At 36.6% G+C, this 23,994-nt stretch overlaps 1 protein-coding gene across 5 annotated transcripts in view, besides 2 other annotated features; it reads right to left on the bottom strand.

Moving 5' to 3' along the window:
• The window catches only part of UBE2E2 (ubiquitin conjugating enzyme E2 E2), a 388,828-nt gene that overhangs the window by 148,602 nt on the left and 216,232 nt on the right, over positions 1-23,994 (bottom strand). The gene's annotated exons all lie outside the window — the stretch shown is intronic.
• Positions 1,680-1,849: an enhancer, noted in NCBI's record as "experimental_68697 CRE fragment used in MPRA reporter constructs". NCBI's record gives its function as "activates a minimal promoter by MPRAs in K562 erythroleukemia cells, with activity observed for the introgressed 3:23483051 or rs75564076 variant allele {active_cell/tissue: K562}" and the evidence as "EXISTENCE:reporter gene assay evidence [ECO:0000049][PMID:34662402]".
• Position 1,764: a transcriptional cis regulatory region, noted in NCBI's record as "Neanderthal adaptively introgressed variant 3:23483051 (GRCh37/hg19 assembly coordinates) or rs75564076 in the experimental_68697 CRE". NCBI's record gives its function as "modulates activity of the experimental_68697 enhancer by MPRAs in K562 erythroleukemia cells {active_cell/tissue: K562}" and the evidence as "EXISTENCE:reporter gene assay evidence [ECO:0000049][PMID:34662402]".

The following is a 23,994-nucleotide window of genomic DNA, read 5'->3' as shown; positions in this document are numbered from 1 at the left end:
CCTAATAAACAGCACATGCTGCTCTGCTTCCGGCTCTTCTTAGTGGGGAAGCTGAGCTAAGACAGATCTAATAGTCTGTGGTGCCTTTATGATATTTGAGGTCATTCCTCTGGAGTTCAGAGGTGGTAAGTGAAACCACAGGCAGAGATGAGATCACTCAGAGGGAAAGACAGAGTAGGAAGAGAAAAGAGAAGAAGACCTAACACTTGGTCCATTAATGGCCACGAGAGGGATAATGGCCAGAAAAGAAGAATGCTGTGTGGCCAGAGAGGTGAGTAGAAAACTGGAAAGTACTGTTGTTATTGTGAGGGAGTTTAGTAGGGGACACAGGTAATATACATCTAATATACAAGCTGTTAATTTTAAATTACTAAATTTGGTTCAATTATTAATATAGATATTTGATATATTATCAAAGAAAATTAAATAATACATACTGCAAACAAAGTAGTGATGGAGGAAGTTTTTCAAACCACATTCCTCTGAGGGGAAACCCCAGGCAGAGCTACAGGAAAGCAGAAGAATCAGTAACCACGCCCCCTTATCTATGCATCTCTGGAAGGCAAACTGGTAGTGGATACAGACTGAGGAAAGGATGATCTGGCTGGCTAAGTTATTCACTTACAAAATTCTACCTTTTGAAAATTTCTTTTGGATTTTAAAAAACGCTCTGACATCAAAAAATAAAAGCTCATAAAACAGGCTTTTATAAGATCTTATAGAAAACAACACAGAAAGCTCAGTGCCTTATGTAAGGCATTTTAATTTAGTATACTTAAAACTATACTTCATAGTAAGACTTTCTTCCTTACACATAGGAGGGCATAAGAGTTCATAAAAATGCTTTATATGTCTTTACGAACACTTAGGATCAGAAGACAGATCTTAATACTTGGAATTAATCACAAGATTAAGGTATGAAATATCACCCTCTCTTACAAGAAGCCAGACAAGTCCTTTTTGGGGGGTTGGGTGGGAGATTAATGCTATATACCCATCAGTAGCAGGATTCATTTTTTTTTTTAAATTTAGAAATGTTTTGGTATTCTCCTTAAGTTCATTAAAACTTCTCTTTAGTGCATTTAGTTTGGTGTAAATAAAAGGATCAGTTCTGCCTGATCTTCACCCTGATTTCCTGTCTGTTTCAGTTAATATTCCTTATCCTATTGTTACTAATGTTTAATGAGGTCTTTATTAAAATATACATATGTTCTTTTACTCCCAGATTTTATTTTTGTAGCATGTATTACACAGGCCACATAAGTCCAAAGTTACAATCAACAATATAAAAGTCACAGAACTAAAATCTAAATTTCTAACTAACAATATGAACACTAGGGAACTTCAATTTAAATCACAAAGCAAGGCTTTGTAATAACATTCTTAAAGTACTTAAATAAATATGAAACGTCTTTGAATATAAGTGGTACACCAAAAGCAAATGTGTTTTAAACGACCCAAATGAAGAGTTTCATTTTCTGACACTGCTTTTGGTAATTAAAAAAAATGATATATTTAAAATAGTTAGCTCATAATATCACCTAAAGTGTTGTACAGTTAACAACTTCCTTTCAAAAATAATAGCATAAAGCAATACTGAATACGCTATAACTTAAAGATGAGACAGAATCAATGCTACCTGTCAGCAGTGCTAGAGGCCTGCCCCAACCACATGACTATTAGGAACAAGTCAGTGAGCTCCTCTAACAAAGTCTGTGCTTCAGAGATGGTGGCATCTCCTCCACACATTAAGTTTCCTTACCCAATTCTTTTTTTTTTTTTTTTGAGACGGAGTCTCGCTTTGTCGCCCAGGCTGGAGTGCAGTGGCGCGATCTCGGCTCACTGCAAGCTCTGCCTCCCGGGTTCACGCCATTCCCTGGCCTCAGCCTCCCGAGTAGCTGGGACTACAGGCGCCCGCCACCATGCCCAGCTAATTTTTTTTTTTTTTTTTTTTTGGATTTTTAGTAGAGACGTGGTTTCACTGTGTTAGCCAGGACGGTCTCGATCTCATGACGTCGTGATCTGCCCGCCTTGGCCTCCCAAAGTACTGGCTGGGATTACAGGCGTGAGCCACTGCGCCCGGCCTTCCTTCCCCAATTCTTTGATAGATGCTCACTTCACAGGTACAATTGTTGCCTGCCAACCTTGCAGGGTGGATATTAGTTTTCATCTGATGCTTCAGAATACCCAAGTGACACAACACCAGGTCAAATGATTTTAGTGGTTTGCAAGTCGGTGTAAAAACCCCAGCTCTTTTGTACTGGAGCTCAGTATCCAAACAGCCCATTCTCTCTTTAGAATTCTAACTAAAATGTCAGTGGCAAGGGATTTTTAAAATAGCCCCTAGGTGTTTCAAGTTTCCTGTGCTTGTTTCAGCAGACTACTGACCCTGCCTACTCACAATAAGCGAGTCTCTTAGGATTTAAATATACAGCTACATTGCCGTAACAAGAACCAGTTACAGGAAGAGCAGGAAAAAAAGTTGGGGGGACAAACTGGCAGGAAATGACTTCAGGACACTTTTTTTCTTTTTTTTTAAATCCAAGTCAAAGAATAACTCAGCTCTTTACAGTTATTTAAATCTGAAAACTATTTCCCTGAAAATGAAATTTCTAAGTAATATACAAATCAACTTAACTAGACTGAAACATTTAGGCTGATCTTACTTTATCCTTTTTCTCAGTATCTTACCTAACGGTTCTATATTTCAAAGCCTGACAGATTTGTTTGGCTGGCATGATCTGACCACTTCCTTTCTATCGAGAAATACAATTTTCTCTTTTGTTGCTGAAAGATTTCTGTTCACGCGTATGAACGTGGGTCCGTTTACAGATTTTGAAGTGTAAATGTTAACATGGAGATAATGCAGGTCAGTATTTTACATCTTATTAGATATCTATATAAAGAAGATAAGATAGCCGGGTACAATGGCCCATGCCTGTAATCTCAGCACTTTGGGAGGACGAGATGCAAGGATTGCTTGAGTCCAGGAGTTTGAGACCAGCCTGGGCAACATAGTGAGACCCCATTATTTTTCCTTTTTTTCTTTTGAGACAGAGTCTCACTCTGTCACTCAGGCTAGAGTGCAGTGGCGTGATCTTGGCTCACTGCAACCTCCGACCCCTGAGTTCAAGCGATTCTCCTGCGTCAGCCCTCCGAGTAGCTGGGATTACAGGCACCTGCCACTGCACCTGGCTAATTTTTGTATTTTTAGTAGAGATGGGGTTTCACCATCTTGGCCAGGCTGGTCTTGAACTCCTGACCTCGTTCGTGATCCACCCACCTCGGCCTCCCAAAGCACTGGGATTACAGGCGTGATACACAATGCCCAGCCTCTTTTTTTTTTTTAATATAAAAAATTTAAAAAGATAAGAATGTCTACAATGAATAAGTATAGCTTCTCTGGCTTCACTGATAGTATAATCTTGATGTCAGGTAGGTTTCTTGTTCCTCAAACTGTATAGGTTAAAACACAAAATGGGCTAATAATGGACAGCACTATGGTACTTTAGTTATACATCTGGATTGAGGAATGGAGTGAGAAATACAATGCGTTTTCGCTGAAAGTGTTTAAACTACTTAAATACATTAAAATAAAAATAAACACATTAAAATAAAAGGTTATCTATCTTTCCATTGTTATAAGATGTGGGTTCCAAAGCACTTGAGGGATGGGATGGAGACAGCTGCTCAAGGACAAGCTGGAGAAAGTTCATTATAAGAGTATGTATAATTCATTCCAGACCTCTCAACGTTCTCTCTCATAATCTCTTTGGGGTCCTAGAGACTTTGGGCAGCTAGCCATCCCCAGGGCTCACTTGCTTAAAATTCAAATCCCATTTCCCAGATCTCCCTTAATCCAAACACTTATCCATAAGAAGTTCTAAAACAATTCTAGGGTTAAGACATGGAGGAGGAGGGGTGCCTCTGAGTTTGACAGTATCTCTTAGCGCAGGTACTATAACACACACCCTTTATTCCTTTAGTCCTTGGATTCCTGGCATCTGCCAGTAACCCTATGTGATGGCCAGTCAGGAAGGAAAGCAGTCACACAGTTTCCTTTTGCAGTGCACAGGAAGAATACGCATGAAGGGAAAGTCTCAGGTTAGCCTTCCCCTGTACACATAACAGTATTTTTTAAAAATCACATGTTAAAAGCAAAACATCATGAATTCAATGTCAAGAAATTGAAACATTTCTTTGAATCAACTTATTTATAAGTATTATTGAGTTCCTGTTCCAAATTTTGCATTCTACTCTGATTTTCTTGTATATAAAAATGATCACTCAATTACTTAGGGGCAAATCTAACAATATTCATGCCTTCCTTAAAATAAAGACAACAATAGTTAACCATTATGTAGTGTGTTGAGTAGTATTCAAATATCCTTGCAAAGAAGCCACAAACCTTATCAGAATACTAATATGTTGTTATCAGAAAATTTGTAGTGATGGTGGTAACCTGACAATCATAAACCCACAGTAATTCTGATTCTTTTATGGTTTCAATATGAATACAGCTGAAACCAAATATTTTAATTTATGAACTATGTTAAGTTTCTCTTTTCCATTTATATGTGGGATGGACCACATGCAGCAATATCTAATTTAGTAAATATTTCAAGCATATATCAAACCATGATGCATAAAATATAATGAAAAGGAAAAATATTAATACTTTAATTATTACTCAAGAAAGAACACATGACTAAGCTGTCACCAACTGCCTATCATAATGCTATAAAACTTACTTAGGACCAACTAATAAAAGCTCAAAAACCGTACAACTACTGAAAATGTCTAGTATATAACTTGAGAACATCTGTCCCTTTTAATTCAAACCTTTTCAAATTTAAGTTCAAGGAACTTCTATCACTACAGAAAATACAGAAATGTATCATCTAATTTTGAGTACTATTTCTGCCAATCCTTTGCTCAAACCTTCCACAGGCTCCTATGGAATAAAGCTGATGTTCTGGTTCTGGTACCCTAAATCCTCCATAATTTGGACCCCCTCACTTCAGCCTTATTTCCTCTTGCTCCAGCATGAGGAAATCTTTTCTCTAGAGAACCTGAATTCCTGAACCTTCTCAACTCTGCACCTTTACTTTTGCTCTTTCTGAAGCTTGTCTGGAACACCTTTCTTGCTTTACTCACTGAAGTCCCACCTGAATCAAGTTAAAATGCTTTACAGAAACCTGTACTGGTTCATGTTTGTGATCCTACAATCTGAGCTTAGACACTGGCATGAAATGATGCTCTTCAAATCTGCTGAATTAATCTGACTCTAAAGCCAATTTAAGACCATACAATAGTCTGCCCCTCACTGTTCCAACTTGGTCATTTCCAGTAACTGATCTTTGTAGTCACTGTGCTCATACTGCATTTACTGCCCACACTGAGGGTGTTTAAAACTTGCTGATTTCATGGAATCTCTGTGTTTTTCTCATGTTAATCAAATAAGTGGCCACCTGTCCTGTGTGCGGCACACAATGCTGAGGATGCAGAGATGCAGGATGACCTTTTCTGTGAGAACATATACACAATCTACGATACAAGTATCACACAAAGAACCAAAAGGACGTAGAAATCCAAAGGAGGAGGGAGTGCCTGTCTGACGGAAACATGCCAGACACTATACAGAAGCAGTGAGGTTCGATTCTACTGTCACAAGGAAAGTGTTCATGGTGATTCAGGGCCTCCGGCATTCCTCTCCTTTCTGAGCTCCTATAGTACTTACGTTTTACACTACTTCTTTTACCCTTAATGATGAAGATGAAGGTCAGAAACTGATTGCATTTGCTGAGCAATCACTATATGCCAGAGATTCTTATAATTAGCACTTTACATGATATTAATGCATTTAACTGTCACAAAAACCTAATCTATTAAAATACTCCTGGATTTACAGATTAGCAAACTGTGGCACAGAGAAATTAAACATCTTGGAAAAATTACACAGGTATTAAGTGGGTGGCATGGGACCTACTATGCATGGAAAAGTCAAAAGGGCCAGTTTTAGGTGGCATGGTCAAGGAAGAACTATCCCTATAAATAGTAGTTGCAATGAGACCTGAAAAAAGAGAGTCAGACATGTAAGGATGAGTTTTTCAGGCCAAGTAAACTACAAGGAGAAAGGCCCTGGGATGAGAAAAACCTGGCGTGTGTGGGAAGTGGAAGGAAGGCCAACGTGGCCAGAGTCAAGTGAAAGGGAGAAAGAACAAGAGATGAGCCTCCAGAAGCAGGCAGGGGCCAGCTCACGTATGGCCTGTGGGCCTGGGTTAGGAGTCTGGGTTCTATGTGTACTGATTTACCTTTACACTACACAACTCTTATGTCTTGTTCTCCACAGTGAGAGTGTCAATGGCAGAAACCAGCTATTATTTTTTAAATGTCTTGTAGCACCCAGCTCATAGTATTATGCAAAATACTCTGTGAAACATTCCCTAACTGTGATAAAAATGAGGTGGGTGTAACTGCATGCAGGAGTGGCTGAAATGGTCTAATGTCGGAGATACAAATGGAGAGACAGAGAGGCATTCCAGACCTGTGGTATGCCAGTTTCATGGCTGCAGAGGGGGAACTTAAGACGTTCTAATAAAAATAAGATGGAACATGGAAAAATAAGATTTTGTTTTGGGGAGGGAGTATAGTTTTTGTTTTTGTTTTTTGGGACAGCATCTTGCCCTGTCACCAAGGTTGGAGTGTAGCGGCTCAATCGCAGCTCACTGCAGCTTTGAGAATAGGAAAAAAAAAAAATCTTCTGTAAATCAAGATATAATTAGAACTTATACTCAGATTTTCCTTTAAAGGAAAACAAATCTTCAAATGTCTTCTAAATGAGAGCGCTCCAGTTTTCTATGAGAATACAACAGATGCTACAGTGTACGAATTCTGAAGAACGCAGGACTAAGAAATGCCCAGTGAAAGCAAAGTACTCAATTACTAACGAAATGTTAACATGTCATTCTGGCAAGAAGAAAAATATCATGGAACAGCAGAATGAACCTGGGCACTGGAGTCATGAAAGTTCACAATCAGAACTCTAGTTTAGCCACTGTGGTATAACACCTAAAATTAAGGTTCAATATCATGTGCCGCTTTGACACCTGGTAAAATCGGGAAGGCCTTGAATGATCTAACCCAGGGATCCCCAAACCCTGGGCCACAGACTGCTAACAGTCTGTAGCCTGTTAGGAACTGGGCCGCACAGCAGGAGGTGAGCGGCTGGGGAGCAAGCATTGTTGCCTGAGTTCCACCTCTGTCAGATCAGCAGTGGCATTAGATCCTCATAGCAGTGGGGATCCTATTGTGAACTGTGCGTGCGAGGTATCTAGACTGTGCGCTCCTTATGAGAATCTAACTAACGCTTGATGATCTGAGGCAGAAGAGTTTCATCCCCAAACCAGCCTGCCCCGCCCCTGCCGTGGAATAACTGTCTTCCACAAAACCAGACCTTGGTGCCAAAAAGGTTGGGGACCACCGACGTAACCCATACGTTCCCCTCTCCACTCTGCTCTCATGAATAAAGGCCCCTAGCGAAACCATCCACCTTACCAAAGGGGCCAGATGCAGTTCTTCCTTATCCTTGAATAGTAGGTTTCAGTTTCTTGTCAGCTTGAGGAATTATTCAAACAAGCCAATCACATCCTTCCATGGGAACCAGGGGATACCCCCACCCTCTTGATACTACAAAGCCTGCCTCCCATAGCTCCTAGTTGTTTACTCTGTTCCCAAGTGCAACTCCACGTGACCCCACTTGAGGCACAGGGTCCTCTTTGCCTTAGCTGTGAACATAGGTAACTAACTGCTGCTGAGCCCAACTGACGTGTTCAGCCATCCTCATAACCCTATGGCAGGAATCCTTCCCTTGTCAAAGGGGTGAGGAGGAAGTGACCAAAACCACCACTTACTGGCTGTGTGAATCAGACCTCACACCAAGTAACTTAACTTTTATCTCCAAGCTTTTTATTCTGTAAACTAGGATTAAGAATATTTACTCTGCAGGTTACGGTTAAGTATTATCTCTAGCAGTTATTATTGTGTGTTGTATCTAGCAGTGCAGTTTTAGACTCATGACTGATTCTACTAATAAAATCCTTATCCCATCACCTGTCCCTATCACCATAACTATTACTATTGATTTCAAGTGTGTAAGTTCAAATTATAGAGTTTGAAACAATAGGTGGGGACATAAATAACAGGCCAGATTTTATTTAAGAAGCAATCTGGCTTATTTACTAGACATCACTTAATTTCAGCCACTAAGAAAACAACTATAAGGAGAATTAACAAGAGTTTTGGGAAAATAAGTAGACATGAAACCAAGACTGCTTTCCAGATACTAAATACTTGGTTGAACTGTAATTTGATTCTGTGAATCTGGATATGCAAATGATGCAGCGATTTATGGCAATAAAGGTCTTTTTAATGAGCTAACATTCTGTGCGCAAATGCTTTATTTTTAAGCAAATGGAAAAAAATCACTTGCTTCAGATAAGAGACAAGGGGAAAATTGGAGCTAATAAAGCATTACACTGAGAGAATTTCCTTTTCTTCAGTTTTTCCTTCTCACATCTTAATTGTGCTACTTATTAAACACACCCCCAATCCAACTGTTTCCTGAACTCAGTAGTACATCTTTATGCCTTTCAATTTTTATGCAATTACCTAATTTATACAAGTTTGCATATTTGTACATTTACAGAGAGGAAAATTATAAAATATATAGTCTAATATACACATAATAAAATGAAAATTTATAACTATTTAAATAATGGAGGGAAGAAGACTTACACAATATAGTGAGAACTCCTTTGGACACACATAGGGTGATCATTTTGGGAGTATCTGTTTCGTACCAAGAATTTTTTGCCTTTAAATTTTGTCTAGTTAAGTAGAGCTAATGCACAATTGTGTCATTTGGGGGATGCAAACTTTATTCTCTTCAGAATTCTAGTTTGATACTGAAATATTACTGTCATAAAATTAGAGATAAATCACAATCCAGGTTATGTTAGTAAGCAATTGGATGTTACATTGAGATCTTTTTTTTGCTCTTTGGCTACCACATTCAATAAGTATTTAAGCACTAGTTTAAAGTGGATGATTGTTAATGTACAACAAAATTGCACAGTAATAAAGCCTGTAATAAAAATAAGCGGAACACCCACAGCTCATACAGTGTAGTTAAGTGTATTAGCTGGTCTCAAAAGCATTAACTTTTACTCAAATAGCAGCAGTATTCTGCACAACCTATTAGCTTCAGACAGTGCATATTAGCTGCAGACTACCAGAAATTTTTATATTTGTATGTTCAAATAAAATGGGTTTCACTATATTATAAATAGTTCCATATAATATTGAGGATTTATTTTAAATGTAAATGAGAAAAAAGGGGAATCTTTTTTCCCTTACAAACGAGGTAACTTAAAAATTTACCATTCTTAGTCTACATGTATTCCCGTATTTTACATCTTGTGAAAAAGCAAGACATGATATACTTCTATTAGTTAGCTTTTCTTGGAAGTTGTAAATTTATAAAAAGAGATCACTGATGGGCCAGCCCTTCATTTACTCTCATTCTGTTAAATTTGTCTTTCTCTTAGGCCATAGCTTGGGAATGTTAAATCCAAAATTTGGCTCAGTGTTTTTAAAACTTAAAAAAAAAAAGTCATAAAGACAAGCTGTTTTCTTGATCCTTTAATGCATTTTCAACGTTTAAATATCACATATTCTGGTTAATCATAGCCAATAAGATATCATCAGATCATATAAATCTGCGTCAATGTACTTAGTTTCAAAAAATTAAAAACAACCAATTCATAGTGCCAACCATGCTCAAAAATCATTAACATTCACTGTTGACATCAGTCCAAAGCATTCACCTGCATTAAAACACTTCATTAAAACACTCAAGAACTCTATCACTATTTATCTAGAAGCACGCATAAAACAAAATTCAGTTTTACATACAATAGGATTTAATCAGCTGTTTTTCAGCTTTTTTTTAATGGAGTCAACTTATAATTTTTTATTATTATGAAGTTATTCTAATTCTTTATAGAGGAGCACAATAATGATATAGCAAAATTCACTTGGGAGAAAAGATATGAGTATAAGATTTTGGTCCACCACAGTATCCTAGGTGCCTGAAACAGTGCCTGGCATACAGAAACTGACATTCAATAATTATTTTCTGTATGAATAAACAACTGGGTACACTTTTCCACCAAAAAGTAATATTTATTTTTTCCTTCCATTCACATCTTATCACAGGAATAAAGTATTAAAGGCATCATAAGTTAAAAGTTCTGTTAATGGCATCATAAGCTGAAAGTTTAGTGTTTAATATATTCAAGTTGCATCATAATCAAGAATCTTTCTATCATGATATCGAAGTGTCTATTCTTATAGAACCACACATAAATTATATTAATATTAACATCTATTATATCTGTTAATATGTTAATAGTTTATTATTAAATTATTAATGTCATTATCAAAGGCAAGAAAAAAGTAACAGAAAAGAAGTCTCTGTGTGACTGTTATCTGGAAATGAATCTATAATGTAAATACATCTCTATATGGCTGGGAAAGTTCTTTCAAAAGTTCAATTAAATAAATTTTAATTGAACATGAAATGCCCAAAATTGAGAAAACCACTACCAAATTTGGACAGAGTAATAGTAAGCATCCTTCTCAACTAATGAACTTGAGACGAGAAAGTAAGGAGAAAAAGAACATGGTAGAGCTGTGGAGAGACTGACAGCAGGAATTTATCAGTAAGAAGGTATAACTGATAATGTTGATATATGCACTTACATAAAAAGCCTTCTGAATATTAAAAATATTAAAAATCATATCACTGATGTAAAAAATTTGTTTAAAGTCCTATAGTAATCATTTCTAGAAATTTGCTTTTAAATGCTGATGCTATTTGTTATGATTTTTGGTTATTCCTTTTGTTTCACTTTTTGCCAATTATGAACGAAGAATCCTCATACAAATAATAATTGCACTTATGATACCTTTCAGCTCACAATCTTAATGCATTAACCAATTAATTAAGAAGGAAATATTTATCCCAAATTAGGGTAATCAGAATTAGGAATGGCAAGAACTCTGTTGCTTCTTTTCTCTACACATACCATTTTAGAATTTGACTGCTTGTGATATAATTACTGTATCTGACAAAACATAGAAAGAGAAATTAATGAAAAACTGATTTCTGGATATAGCTGCAGAACATTTATCCAAATTTTCTGTACTGAAAGCTGTACATTACAGTGTGATGACTAGTAGCGTTTGCCTACATGCTTTACACTTAAATCATTAGATATAAACGTGGTTTCATATGACCTGTCTGTGAGAGCTTATTTAGTAGTCTTAGATCATCATCTTCTAATGACTACTTATCAGCTTGTACTACAGTATGTGGGCCAAGTTGGCCCATTCTTACTGAAAATATTTTGAATTAATTTTAACCCCTAAATATTAAGGCCCTATTTTCACAAAGTATCACATAACTACATTTGAACAGGAAGATATTTCTACGTATAGTGGTTAATGCAAACTAATATATAGTGGTTTTCAGAGGCTAAAAAAAAATCTGTTTATACTATTTTATTTTTACTGCAAAGTTCTATTTTGTACTTTTAAAGAGGAGATCTGAAGATGTCAGAAGTGATGGTAAATCTATAAACCTCACTTTACAACTTATAAGACAGCTCTATTAAATAAAATGTTATCTAAGAAAAGGATAAGAAAATTAACAGCTGACATATACCACAGCTCACAGGCATCAGAGAAGTTTTTTTAATGATTTAAATCTATCCATATTAATATATTGTACTCATAGCATTTTCCTGAAAAACTGGAAAGCTGGCTGGTGGCAACTATTGTTTTAGACAACCTACTACTTCTGTGGCTTTCCCGCTGCAGAAACATTCAGGAAAGCATCTTTGAACAGCTCACTAAGCATGACCCCAGTGGACCTCAATCACATTAAACAAAATAAATCCTTAGCAAACAGATTCATCTTCCTGACTTTTTCTTTCTTCAGTGTACCATCTTCTTTGAGTCACAAAGGCTCAAAATAGCAAAGTGGTTTTTCACACCAAAGCCTGTGAAAACTTCCTTTGTCGTATCTCAAGCACTCATCTCAAAACCCTTTTATTTCTATTCACCCACTTCCAGTTCCCAGTGAAGATACCAAATAGATAAATTCTCCCAACAGACCACTTGTCCCATCCCACTCCATTGTTGTAAAGTCAGCACTGAATCTCTAGAACATTCTGCAGTTTCTCAAAGTAAAGGCTGTAGGCTACTGCAGCAAAATTACCCTCATATTTGTTATGATTCACTGGCCAAATCTATACTCAACTGAAAGCTCCCACTCAATCAAAAGCTCTGGCAATAAGATCCAGCATTTCATAAACTCTGTATTTGATTCTTATGTATACAGAAACTTGTCAACTATTGCCTAAAAAATGAAGTAAACAGGCCAGGTGTAGTGGCTCACACCAGTAATCTTAGCCCTTTGGAAGGCTGAGGTAGGAGGATTCCTTGAGGCAAGGAGTTCAAGACCAACCTGGGCAACATAGGGATATCCCATCTCTACAAAAGAAATAAGTAAATAAGCCAGGGGCAGTGGCACATGCCTGTAGTCCTAGCTACTCAGGAGGATAAGACAGGAAGACTGCTTGACCCCAGGGGGTTGAGGCCATGATTATGCCACTGCACTTCAGTCTGGGTGACAGAGTGAGACCCTGTCTCAAAGAAAAAAACAAAAAAACAACAAAAAAAACGCCACACAACCACCAAGAATAATAGCCAACATATTAAGTGCTTAATGTGGGCCAGGTACTGTTCTAAAAACTTTAATGGATGAACTCTTAATCTTGTAACAGCCCTATGAGGTAGGTAGTGTTACTATCACTACCTGACACATGAGGAACAAGGCAAAGACAGGTTAAGTAACCTATATTTAAGTGCTATATTATAGAAGATGGGAGATAAGGTATACTAATTGGAAAGGAAGAAATGAGACTTTCTTCACAAATCATATGACCATTTATGTCGATTATAGAATAAGCTGCGCTATTATAGAAGGTGGCAGAGATAAGATCCAAGCTCAAATAGTCTGCATCGAGTTTATATTCTTAAGCACTAGACAGACTGCTTCAGTCCAACATTCAAGGGGTCTGAATCTCAAAACCTAACCTTTCCAGAATTAACTCCTACTACTATAACCATGATTAATAAAAATGTTCCTTCGGCCAGGCACGGTGGCATGTACCTGTAATCCCAGCTGCATGGGAGGCTGAGGTGGGAGGATTGCTTGAACCTGGGAGGCAGAGGCTGCAGTGAGCCAAGATCGTGCCACTGCATTCCAGCCTGGGCAACAGGCCGAGACTCCATCTCAAATAAATAAATTCTGCTTTTTTGTTGCTGGTATATAGAAAGCAATTGACATTTGTATATTAATCTTGTATACTGCAATTTTGCTATAATTGCTTATTAGTTCCAGAAGTTTCTTGTCGATTCTTTTCGGTTTTCTACATAAATGGTCATATGATTTGTGAAGAAAGTCTAATTTCTTCCTTTCCAATTAGTATACTTTCCCCTGCCCCTTTTCCTATCTCACTACATTAGCTAGGACTTCTAGTACAATGCTGTAAGAGCAGAATGTTGTTAAGGAAGTTCTCTTCTATTCCTAGTTTACCAAGTCTTTATCATGAATAGGTGTTGAATTTTGTCAAGTGCCCTTTCTTTATTGATATGATCCTGAGAATTTTCTTTAGCCTGTTGACGGGATGAATTATATTAATTAAATTTTGAATGCTGAACCAGCCTTGCACACCCAGGATAAATCCCATTTGGTCATGGTGTATAGTTGTTTCTACACACTGTTGGAATCCATTTGCTAGTATTTTGTTAAAATTTTTTACGCCTATTATATGAAATTTTTTGGTGTGTAGTTTTCTTTTCTTGCAATGTCTTTGTCTGGTTTTGGTATTAGGATGGTGGCCTCACAGAATGAATTAAAATGGATTCTCTCTGCTTCTATCTTCTAGAAAAGACTGTAGAGAAAATTGGTATAATTTCTTCTTTAATGTACAGAATTCACTTATGAACCAGTCTGGGCCTGGTGCTTTCCGTTTTGGAAAGTTATTAGTTACTGATTCAACCGCTTTAATATATATGTAAGGCCTACTTAGTTTGTGTATTTTTTCTTGTGTGAATTTTGGCAGGTTGTATCTTTCAAGAAATTGGTTCATTTCATCTAGGACATGAAGTTGTTTATAGTATTTCTTTATTACCCTTTTAATGTTCAAAATATTTGTAGTGATAGCCTCTTTTTCAATTCTTTTTTTTTTTTTTTTTTTTTTTTAAGAGACAGAGTCTCACTTTGTTGCCAAGGCTGGACTGCAATGGTATGATGACAGCTCACTGCAGCCTCCATTTCCCAGGCTCAAGTGATCCTCCTGAGTAACTGTGATGTGGTGGCACCAGGCTATTTTTTGTAGAAATGGGGTGTTACTGTGTTGCCCAGTCTGGATTCAAACAATCCTCCTGCTTCTGCCTCCCATATTGCTGGGATTACAGGGTGAGCCACCACACCTGGCCCTCTCTTTTGTTTCTGATGTTAGTAACGTGTGTCTTCTCTCTCTTTTTTTGGAGGCTTATTGATTTTATTGATGTTTTCAAAGAACCAGCTTTTGAGATCATTGATTTTCTGTGATTTCCTGTTTCCTATTTCATTAATATATACACTAATTCTTAAATTTCTTTACTTCTGCTTACTTTGAATTTGATTTGCTTGTCTTTTTCTTCTTTTCTAAGGTAGAAGCTTAGATTACTGATTTTAGATCTTTCTTCTTCTGTAACCTCTGCATTCAATGCTTTAAATTTCCTTCTAAACACTGTTTTCGTTGCATCCCACAAATTCTGATAGGCTGTGTTTTTGTTTTCATTGTTTAAAATATTTTAAAATCTCTCTTGGTATTTCTTCTTTGACCCATGTGTTTATAATAATGTTGTCAAATCTCCAAGTATTTTGAGATTTTCAGCTATCTTTCTGTTACTAATTTCTAGTTTAACTCCATTGTGGTCGCACAGCATTTTTAAAATTAGTTAAGGTGTGTTTTATGATCCAGAATGCAGTTTACCTTGGTGAATGTTTCATGTGAGCTTAAGAAGAATGTGCTTTGTGGTGGTGGTGTATAATGTAGTAAACGGATTTCAATTATATTCAACTGACTGATGATTCTGTTGAGGTCAACTATGTCCTCACTAATTTTCTGCCTGCTGGATCACTTTCTGATAGAGGGGGTCCTGAAGTCTCTAACTATTTAATAGCCAAATCATCTATTTCTCTTTATAGTTCTGTAAGTTTTTGTCCTACATATTTTGATATGCTGTTGTTATGCACATACACATTAAGGATTGCTACGTCTTCTTGAAGTATTGACCCGTTTACCATTATGTAATGCCCCTCTTCATCTCTGACAACTTTCCTTGCTGTGAAGTCTTCTATTTGTGAAATTAATATAGGTACTCCCACTTTCTTTGGATTAGTGTTAGCATAGTATATCTTTCCCCAGTAACTTATCTTTACTCTACATGTGTTTTAATATTTAAAGTAGGATTCTTATAGACAACATAAAGTTGAGTCTTGCTTCTCATCCATGCTGACAATCTCTTGACATTTAATTTGTATATTTAGGCCACTGCTATTCAAACTGATCATTCAAATATAGTTTAATTATTATCTATTGATTTGTTACAATTTTCTATTTGTTGCCCTTGTTCTTTGTTCCTATTTTTTACTTTCACTCCTTTTCTGCCTTTTGTGGTTTTGAGCATTTTATATAATTCCATTTTCTCTCTTAGATTATCAGTTATACTTTTTTTTAGGTTGGAGAGCAGTGGCATCATCTTGCCTCACTGCAACCTATGCCTCCCAGGTGCAAATCACCTTCCTGCCTCTGCCTCCCAAATAGCTGGAACTACAGGCACATACAATGACACCTGGCTAATTTTTTTTTTTTTTTTTTTTTGGTAGAGATGGGGTTTCAACATGTTGCCCAGGCTGGTCTTGAACCCCTGGGCTCAAGCAATCTGCCCATGTCAGCCTCCCCAAAGTGCTGGAATTACAGGCATGAGCCACCCTGCCTGGCCATACTTCTTTAACTTTTTGAAAAATGATTCTCCTAGGGTTTGCAAAATACCTTTAAAACTAATCGAAGCCTACTTTCAAATAAATATATTTCAAATATATACCAGTTCACAGGTAACACAAGTACTTAATAACAAAATAATACTAATTCTTCCATCTCATCCCTGGTACCATTGTTGTTATTTCTTTCTACTTTTAGATAAGTATATATATATGTGTGTGTGTATACGCACACAATATATTGTTGCTATTATTTTGTACAGATTGATCTGTCCATTAAAAATAGGAAAAATAAAAAATTTAAAATTTTACCTGTACTTATCCCTTCTGTGATGTTCTTCCTTTTTTAATGGAGATCCCAGTTTTTGACCTATGTCATTTTCCTTCTCTCTGAAGAACTTCTTTTAACATTTATTGCAAAGCAGATCTGCTGGCAACAAATTCTCTCAATTTTTGTTTAGCTAGAAAGTCTTACCTCTTCTTCACTTTTGAAGAATAACTTTGCAGGGTATGGAATTTTTGGCTGGAAGTTTTTTTCTCTCAACACTAATTATTTCACTTCACTCTCTTATTGTGTGCATGGTTTCTGAGGAAATGTTGGATATAATTCTCTAAGTCAGGTCTCCCTGCACACCCCATCAGGCTTCATTCCAGATTTTTAATCACTGATTTTCTGTAATTTGAATATGATATGACTATGTGTAGCTTTTTTTTTTTTTTTTTGCATTTATCCTAATGCTTTCTGAGCTTCCTGAATCTGTGGTTTAGTGTGGGACATTAATTTGCAGGAAAATTTCTGTTGTTCCTGCTTCAAATATTTAATCTGTTCCTTTCCTTTTTTACTTCGTTTGGTATTCTCATCATGCATATGATACACCTATTGTTGTTCCACAGTTCTTGGATATTCTGTTCAGTTTATTTCAGTCTTTTTTCCCTTTACTTTTCTATCTTGGAAGTTTCTACTGACATATACTCAAGGTTTTAGATTCTTTCCTCAGCTGTGTCAAGTCTACCAATGAACTCATTTAAAACATTCTTCATTTTTATTTCACTGTTTTTCACCTTTGGCATTTCTTTTTGATTCTTTCTTAGAATTCCACCTCTCTGCTTACATTGCCCATCTGCTCTTCCATGGCATCTACTTTATCCCTAGAGCCCTTAGTATTTTAATGATAGTTGTTTTAAATTCCTGATATGATAATTTCAAGAGCCCTGCCATATCTGAATCTGGTTCTGTTGCTTGTTCTGTCTCTTCGAAGTGTATTATTTGCCTTCTAGTACACTTGTAATTTTTTTCTTGAGAGCTGGACATGGTGAATTGGGTAAAAGGAACTGCAGAAAATAGGGCTAAGAAAGTGGGGGTAAGAAAGCGGGGGAGGGTAGAGCATTCTATAGTCCTATGATTAGGTCTCATGACTCGTCACCCCTAAAGTTTTTCACTCTCAAGCTTGTATATCCTGAGCCCCAGCAATTTATCAATTGCAGTTCAGGTTTTCCTACTGTGATGCTGATTCCTGCAGAGGCTTCTGCTCCTGTTCTCTGTATTTGCCTGTCTCTTCAATCTGGGGGTGGTGGGAGTGGTTTACCCTGTAACCTTGCTTCTATAACAGATCTAAGAAGAACTGTTAATTTTTCAGTTTGTTCAGCTTTTTAACCTGTTTATTTTTTGACGTAATGACTTCTAAGCTCCTTACATGCTAGTCTGGAAACTAGAAGTCTAATTTTTTAAATTAACAAATTTCAGAGACAGATGGGATTTTAAAGAAAATTTAGTTGAGCTTCCCCCTTTAAAAGACAAGAGAGCAGGAAGAGAAGAAAGTTAAATGATTTGTCCAACTATCTAGGATCTATTTAATGTCATCAGAACTGGGTTAGACCCCAGCAATTCCTACCCTACTTCTTATCTGCAACTAAAAAGTAGCTGTTTTAATGGCATTATAGTTATGCTAAAAGAAATTAGTCCTTATGGACTTACTCAAGGATACATACTGAAATATTTATAAGGAAAGGATTGACACTTGGAATTTGCTTTAAAATCTGAGGCAAGATATGTTTGGTGGGGGTATAGTTAAAACACGATTCCCTGTGCATTGATAAATGTGATTTAAAGTCTTTATTATACTAATTTTCTACTTTGTATATAATTTAAGTTTTCCAAACTCAAATGTTTAAAACATGGTAAAGTAGAAAAGGATGAAACAATTGCTTATTTTGACTCTAATTATCCATAAATGTTACCACCAGATATAACCAATTTAAGATAAAACCAATTTAAAAATTATTTGGCTTAGTACCTCTGCCAAATCACTGAAGTAAAATAAACGCTACCAGTTATAAAAAATCAAACTACTTTATTTATATAAAATTCAGCTATCATACTTCTTTAAATGTTTCTATTATTTTAACATCTCATAGCTATCAGAGTACCTTAGCTCCAGCTGAAATCAAACTGACATCATTTTATGTATTTAACTACAAACCTCTTACACAATACATTAGCTCAATTTGCTTTTTCATTCTTAAATGAAACCTTATGCCTGGAGCAGAGGACCTTTCATTAGTGCTACAATTTGTACAAGATTCTAAAAATATGTTCATTAATCCAAGCAGAATTAAATTTTCTACATTTTATCCTTAGCAAGCCAAAGAAAAAGCCATCAAATTCAGTATCACTTAAAGCAAATACAGAAAAAAAAAAAAACAAAGGTGTTTAAGTCAGTTAATATGTGCTCTCCTCCCAGAAAGGCTACCTGCTCCCCTACAAGAGTAGATACCCCAGCTAGCTGCTTCTTTAGTTACTGATCATAGACAAATGAATTCATTTAGGAAATCATCTGTACCTTAACATGGTAACTGCAAGTCTCTGCTGTATTTTCATTAATATTATACTGCAGATTATGTAGCTTTTCTTTTATTTCTTAGATTTATCTGGTTCAACATAGAAAAAAAAGTTCCTTAAACATTTATATCTTATTCAATTGGGTATTTTCTGAAGGGTTTGAGAGAATAAATAACTGTGGAATTTAGTAAGATTATCAAACATTACTTACCTTTCCAAATTAGGGAACAAAAGCTTGAAGAGAAAACCTTAAAAGTATCCACTCACTCTCAGCACTCTCAAAATTCTCAGTAATGTCCTTTCATTACTCAAGAGGTCAACCACCAGACTCAGTAACTAAACTAGGCAAAATAAGTCTCCCTGAGGATCATGAATTGAAGGAGGGTGTGAAGGAGGAGAGGCAGAGATACAGTTTTCAGTACTCCACTGCTAAGGGAGGGCCCTCATTCTTCTGATAGGTAGCACCAGGTCACACTACTACTGATCGGAGATTTAGGAAGAGATGTAGGGTTTATTATCATATTCTCATTAAAAACATTCATGAGTATCATAATAAAGACTCCATACATTTTGAAAAAATGTAATTGCTTATATTCCAGTATAGGTATTTTTAAGCACCTAGTACCTATTACAATCACTGATCTAGAAATAAATACACGCACTGGACATGCAAGCATTATATAGATTATGGCATTAGTGTGTTATAAAGTAATTAAAGCAGTTATAAGTAAAATTAGACCAAGAGTTCTTATCAAGGATGGCAATATATTAACTCTCATCCTGATAAGAAATAAACAATTGTTAACCATTAAAACAAGGGTTATGAGAGAAACAGACATACTTCTATATTAACTCTTGACAAAAAGTTATGTATACTGAGTAAAGAAAAATGAAATAGCAGAGATCTATTTCTTATCTTTAGTATCAAGATAAATAATAAAGTGTAAGATAATCCCACTCAAGGACTTTTGAAAAATATATCTTTACTTCACTTCACTTTGCTAATGTATTAGATCTCCAAGACAGCTGCAAAGTTAGAACTCGAACACAACTAGCTTTAGTTAAAGCACTAGCTATCAAACCGTTTTATGCGCAGTTGGGAGAATAAAACAATTATAGCTTCAGAGACTCTAAAAGCTTTAATTTCAAGTTTTGTGACTGCTTAACATGCAAAGGACATTTTAATCAAGAACTGCAAACCAATGAACCTAACATGCAAAGGACATCTTAAACAAGAACTGTAAACCAATGAACCTTCATTATGTAAGCAGACACACAGAAAAACCAAGCCTTTAAGAAACTGACTTTACATACTGACTTTCCTAGTATGGGAAGGTGATAACTCAGCTGTGAACATGAAGGTGAAGATATGGAGAAGAGCTGAACAGGGATCTAGATCTTGGTGATTCAAGAATTTCAAGATAAAAAGGAACTTGAAATGTCATCTTACCTAGACCCTTCCCTAGACACTTTTGACAACTCATCATCCACTATTAGCTTGAACACCACTTTCCAGGAACAGAAGAATTTCCAAGCAAACATCCTATTCTATTTCTAGTCTGCTCTAATTGTTAAGTGTTTCCTTGAGTGAAAATCTGCCTGTCTCTGTTCTGCCTTCTGGAAATAGAACAAGTCAAATCTGTCTTCCACCTGATAACCCACAAGTATTTAAAGCAGCTCTCTGGTTTCTTCAAAGCCTTTTTCTTTGTTCCAACATAGGGCTGAGGACTCAGAAGACAGCATCACCCAGGTCACAAACTGACAGAAAAGATAATCTATTCTTCAGATATGCTTGTTTATCTGCTCAGTTTAAAAATTTTCATAAAGAAACATGGAATCTTGGTTTCTCTTGAAAAATAGTAGTCCTGGCAACACTGGACTGGTGACAGTAAGCTGCAGCTGGGAAGCAGCAGAGTAGATTCTTCCTTCAGATGGGGCATTCTGCTCCAGTTGACCACTTTCTCTACCATTCAAGTGTTGTCTCTCAGGAAGAACTTAACCTGCCCATGTTATCTAAAATAGCCAACTTACCTCCTACTCTCTATCCCCGTATTTATTATTAATGCTCCTTTAAAGTACCTAAGAAAATTGTTTCTCTTAAAAGATTCTCTCTTAACCTACTTCTTTGGTGTAGTCTGTTCAATATTAAGTACCAACTTCTACTTCTATTTGGAATATAAATATTTATAATTAAAAAAATTATTAATTACTTCATTCAATACAACAAAACAGCTCATTAGAGGATATTTTGGCAGCCCCATTAATGTTGTGACTCACTGACCAACTAATTTCCTGGTTGCTGGCCAACACTGGTAAACAAATCTGCTACCATTATACCACATTTCCCTCATTCAATAACTGTGCTATTATTTGGGAAAGCTAAACATGGTGTTTTGCATAACCATCACCCGAATAGTGAAGACTGTACCCATTAGATAATTTCTTATCTCTCACCTCCCTCGCACCTGAGTCTCTAATGACTCTTATTCCATGCCCTCTGGCCATGTGTACATATTATTTAGCTCCCACTTAGAATTGAGAACATGTGGTGTTTGACTTTCTGTTTCTGTTATTTCACTTAAGACAATGGCCTCCAGGCCAGGTATGGTGGCTCACGTCTGTAATCCCAGCACTTTGAGAGGCCGAGGTGGGCGGGTCATGAGGTCAGGAGTTCGAGACCAGCCTGGCCAACATGGTGAAACCCCATCTCTACTAAAAATACAAAAAATTAGCTAGGAGTGGTGGCAGGTGCCTGTAATCTCAGCTACTCGGGAGGCTGGGACAGGAGAATTGTTTGCACCCTGGAGGCAGAGGTTGCAGTGAGCTGAGATCCAGTTCTATCCATGTTGCTGCAACAGACATGATTTCATTCTTTTTTATGGCTGAATAGTATTCCATGTTACATACATACACCACATTTTCTTTATCCAATCATCCATTGATGGAAACCTAGGTTAATTCCATATTTTTGTGACTGTGAATAGTGCTGCAAGAATAAGACTTGCCTCCTAAGCCAGTTGTGCTAGACTGTAACAGATACCAGCCATCACCTAATTATGTAGAGTTTAATGCCTACTGCAAAGATGCACTAAAATATTTGTTAAATTCAATTACAGATTCTCAGATGATATATTTAGCTGACCTTCAAGCTGAAAGAGAAACTCCCTGCACAACAATCCTTACAAGATGCCTAAGCACTACTAGTGCACACAGTAGAAAGTAGATCATGTCCCTTCCAAAGAGTTCTACCTTTCAGAAACATTCTCCCTATTATTAAGTCAAATCTTCCCTCCTATAACTTTCGTTTTTATGATTTGAGAGTAAAAGGAATAAAGATATTGTCTCTTCTACATGATTCACATTACCTTATTTTACATGTCTGAAAACAGTTCTTCATATCTTTACTCTGTTCTTAACCCATAGGCAATATCTAGTTAGGGGTTTTGTGGGCCTAAATACAGTAACAGAAAGATATACATGTAAAGATCAGTCCTTTCCTGGAGAGAAGTGAACTATTAGGTAAAGGCTTCCTGAAAGAGGCAGGACTTAAAAGAAACCTTAAACAATATATTGCAAAAAAAACATATCATGATTCAACTCTTAGTAAATATTCTTGCCTCTTTACAAGTGGTTCTGGTGTAGGTGAAGAATACTGTAAAGAAATCAAAGCCTTGTCTTAGAAGTTACAACTATGAACAGCATTTGTCCTTACAGTACAGATACAAGAAACAGTCACTGACATTATCTAGCATTGTTAATTAGAAGTACTTAATTCCTGCCTTATTCTCTATTGCTTCCAACTGCTTTAAGCTTCATTTCTAACACCTATATTTAAAAAGCCTGAATAATATGTCATTCAAACTATGAAACTGCCCATTAAAATTATTTTTCTAAATCACAGGATCATAAAAATTGAGCAATAAAGGGAACTTCTTTTAGACTTTCTGATCCAGTTCCCTCATTTTATTAAAGAAGATATTCAATCATTATTTATAGAGTTCCTTCTGGGCAATCTGATCCATATATACCCTCATTAAGCATTTACTGGGCTCTTACAATATGCAATGCACTGTGTCAGATGCTATGATGGCTACAAGTATGAATAGACATAGATACTGCCGTCAAAGAGCTTACATTTAGCAGATAACTGAAACAATAATAATTCAGGTTAGAAAACTGTAGGTTTTATAGTAGATGAGGGCTACTTGTTCAAATTTTTCATGATAGACTCTCTCTCTTAGGCATCTGTATCCATTCAAACGCCTAAATATATATTGTGTTTATTCTTGTATGTACATGCCTAGTCTTAGCAGCCCACCAGTAGTAGGCATTTTGTCCCACACCCAACAGTAGTAACTGCTGGTTTTGAAATTTAATTGAAGGGAGAGGCAGAAGACCCTTGGACTTCTGCAGACCTGAGCAAGAGAGAGGAAAGGGAGAGCTTCCCCATTCTATGTGGTATCATGCAATTTATGTCAACTAACCAGGTTCCTCAAGAGAAGCAAATGTCATTGAAACCAAAGACTCATTCATTCATTTAACAAAAATTTATTCAGTGCCTAATATCTGTCAGAAGGTATACGAGACACAAAGGCCATAATTTTGAGGGAAAGGAGTATGTCCCTGCTCTCAGGGAGCTCACAATCTAGTTTGGCTTTTTTCAAAACTATGCACGGCAGGCAAGTGGAAATAATCTCTGCAAGAACACTGCATAACAAAAGCACAGATTCTCAAGCAACATCCACAACTTATTAAAAGCTTCCCAGGTAATTCTGGTGGGTCACTTCTCTGTGTTATTTGAAGTCCTTTGTGGCTTCCAGGCTAGGCACTGTTGTGTTGTATCTTAGGGAGATCTGGTAAAGAAAGTGTACTACATGTTGACAACTCATCACTGTATAGGTAGAACAATACCAAAGAGTACACATTGAGGGTGTGGGGGTGGTAACTGCTTCCCATATTAGAACCATCAGCA

This window comes from Homo sapiens, chromosome 3 (assembly GCF_000001405.40).
Source record: "Homo sapiens chromosome 3, GRCh38.p14 Primary Assembly".
Classification (NCBI taxonomy): Eukaryota; Metazoa; Chordata; class Mammalia; order Primates; family Hominidae; genus Homo; species Homo sapiens.
The sequence above is the reverse complement of the archived record's forward strand: the minus strand, read 5'-3'. Positions and strand labels throughout refer to the sequence as shown.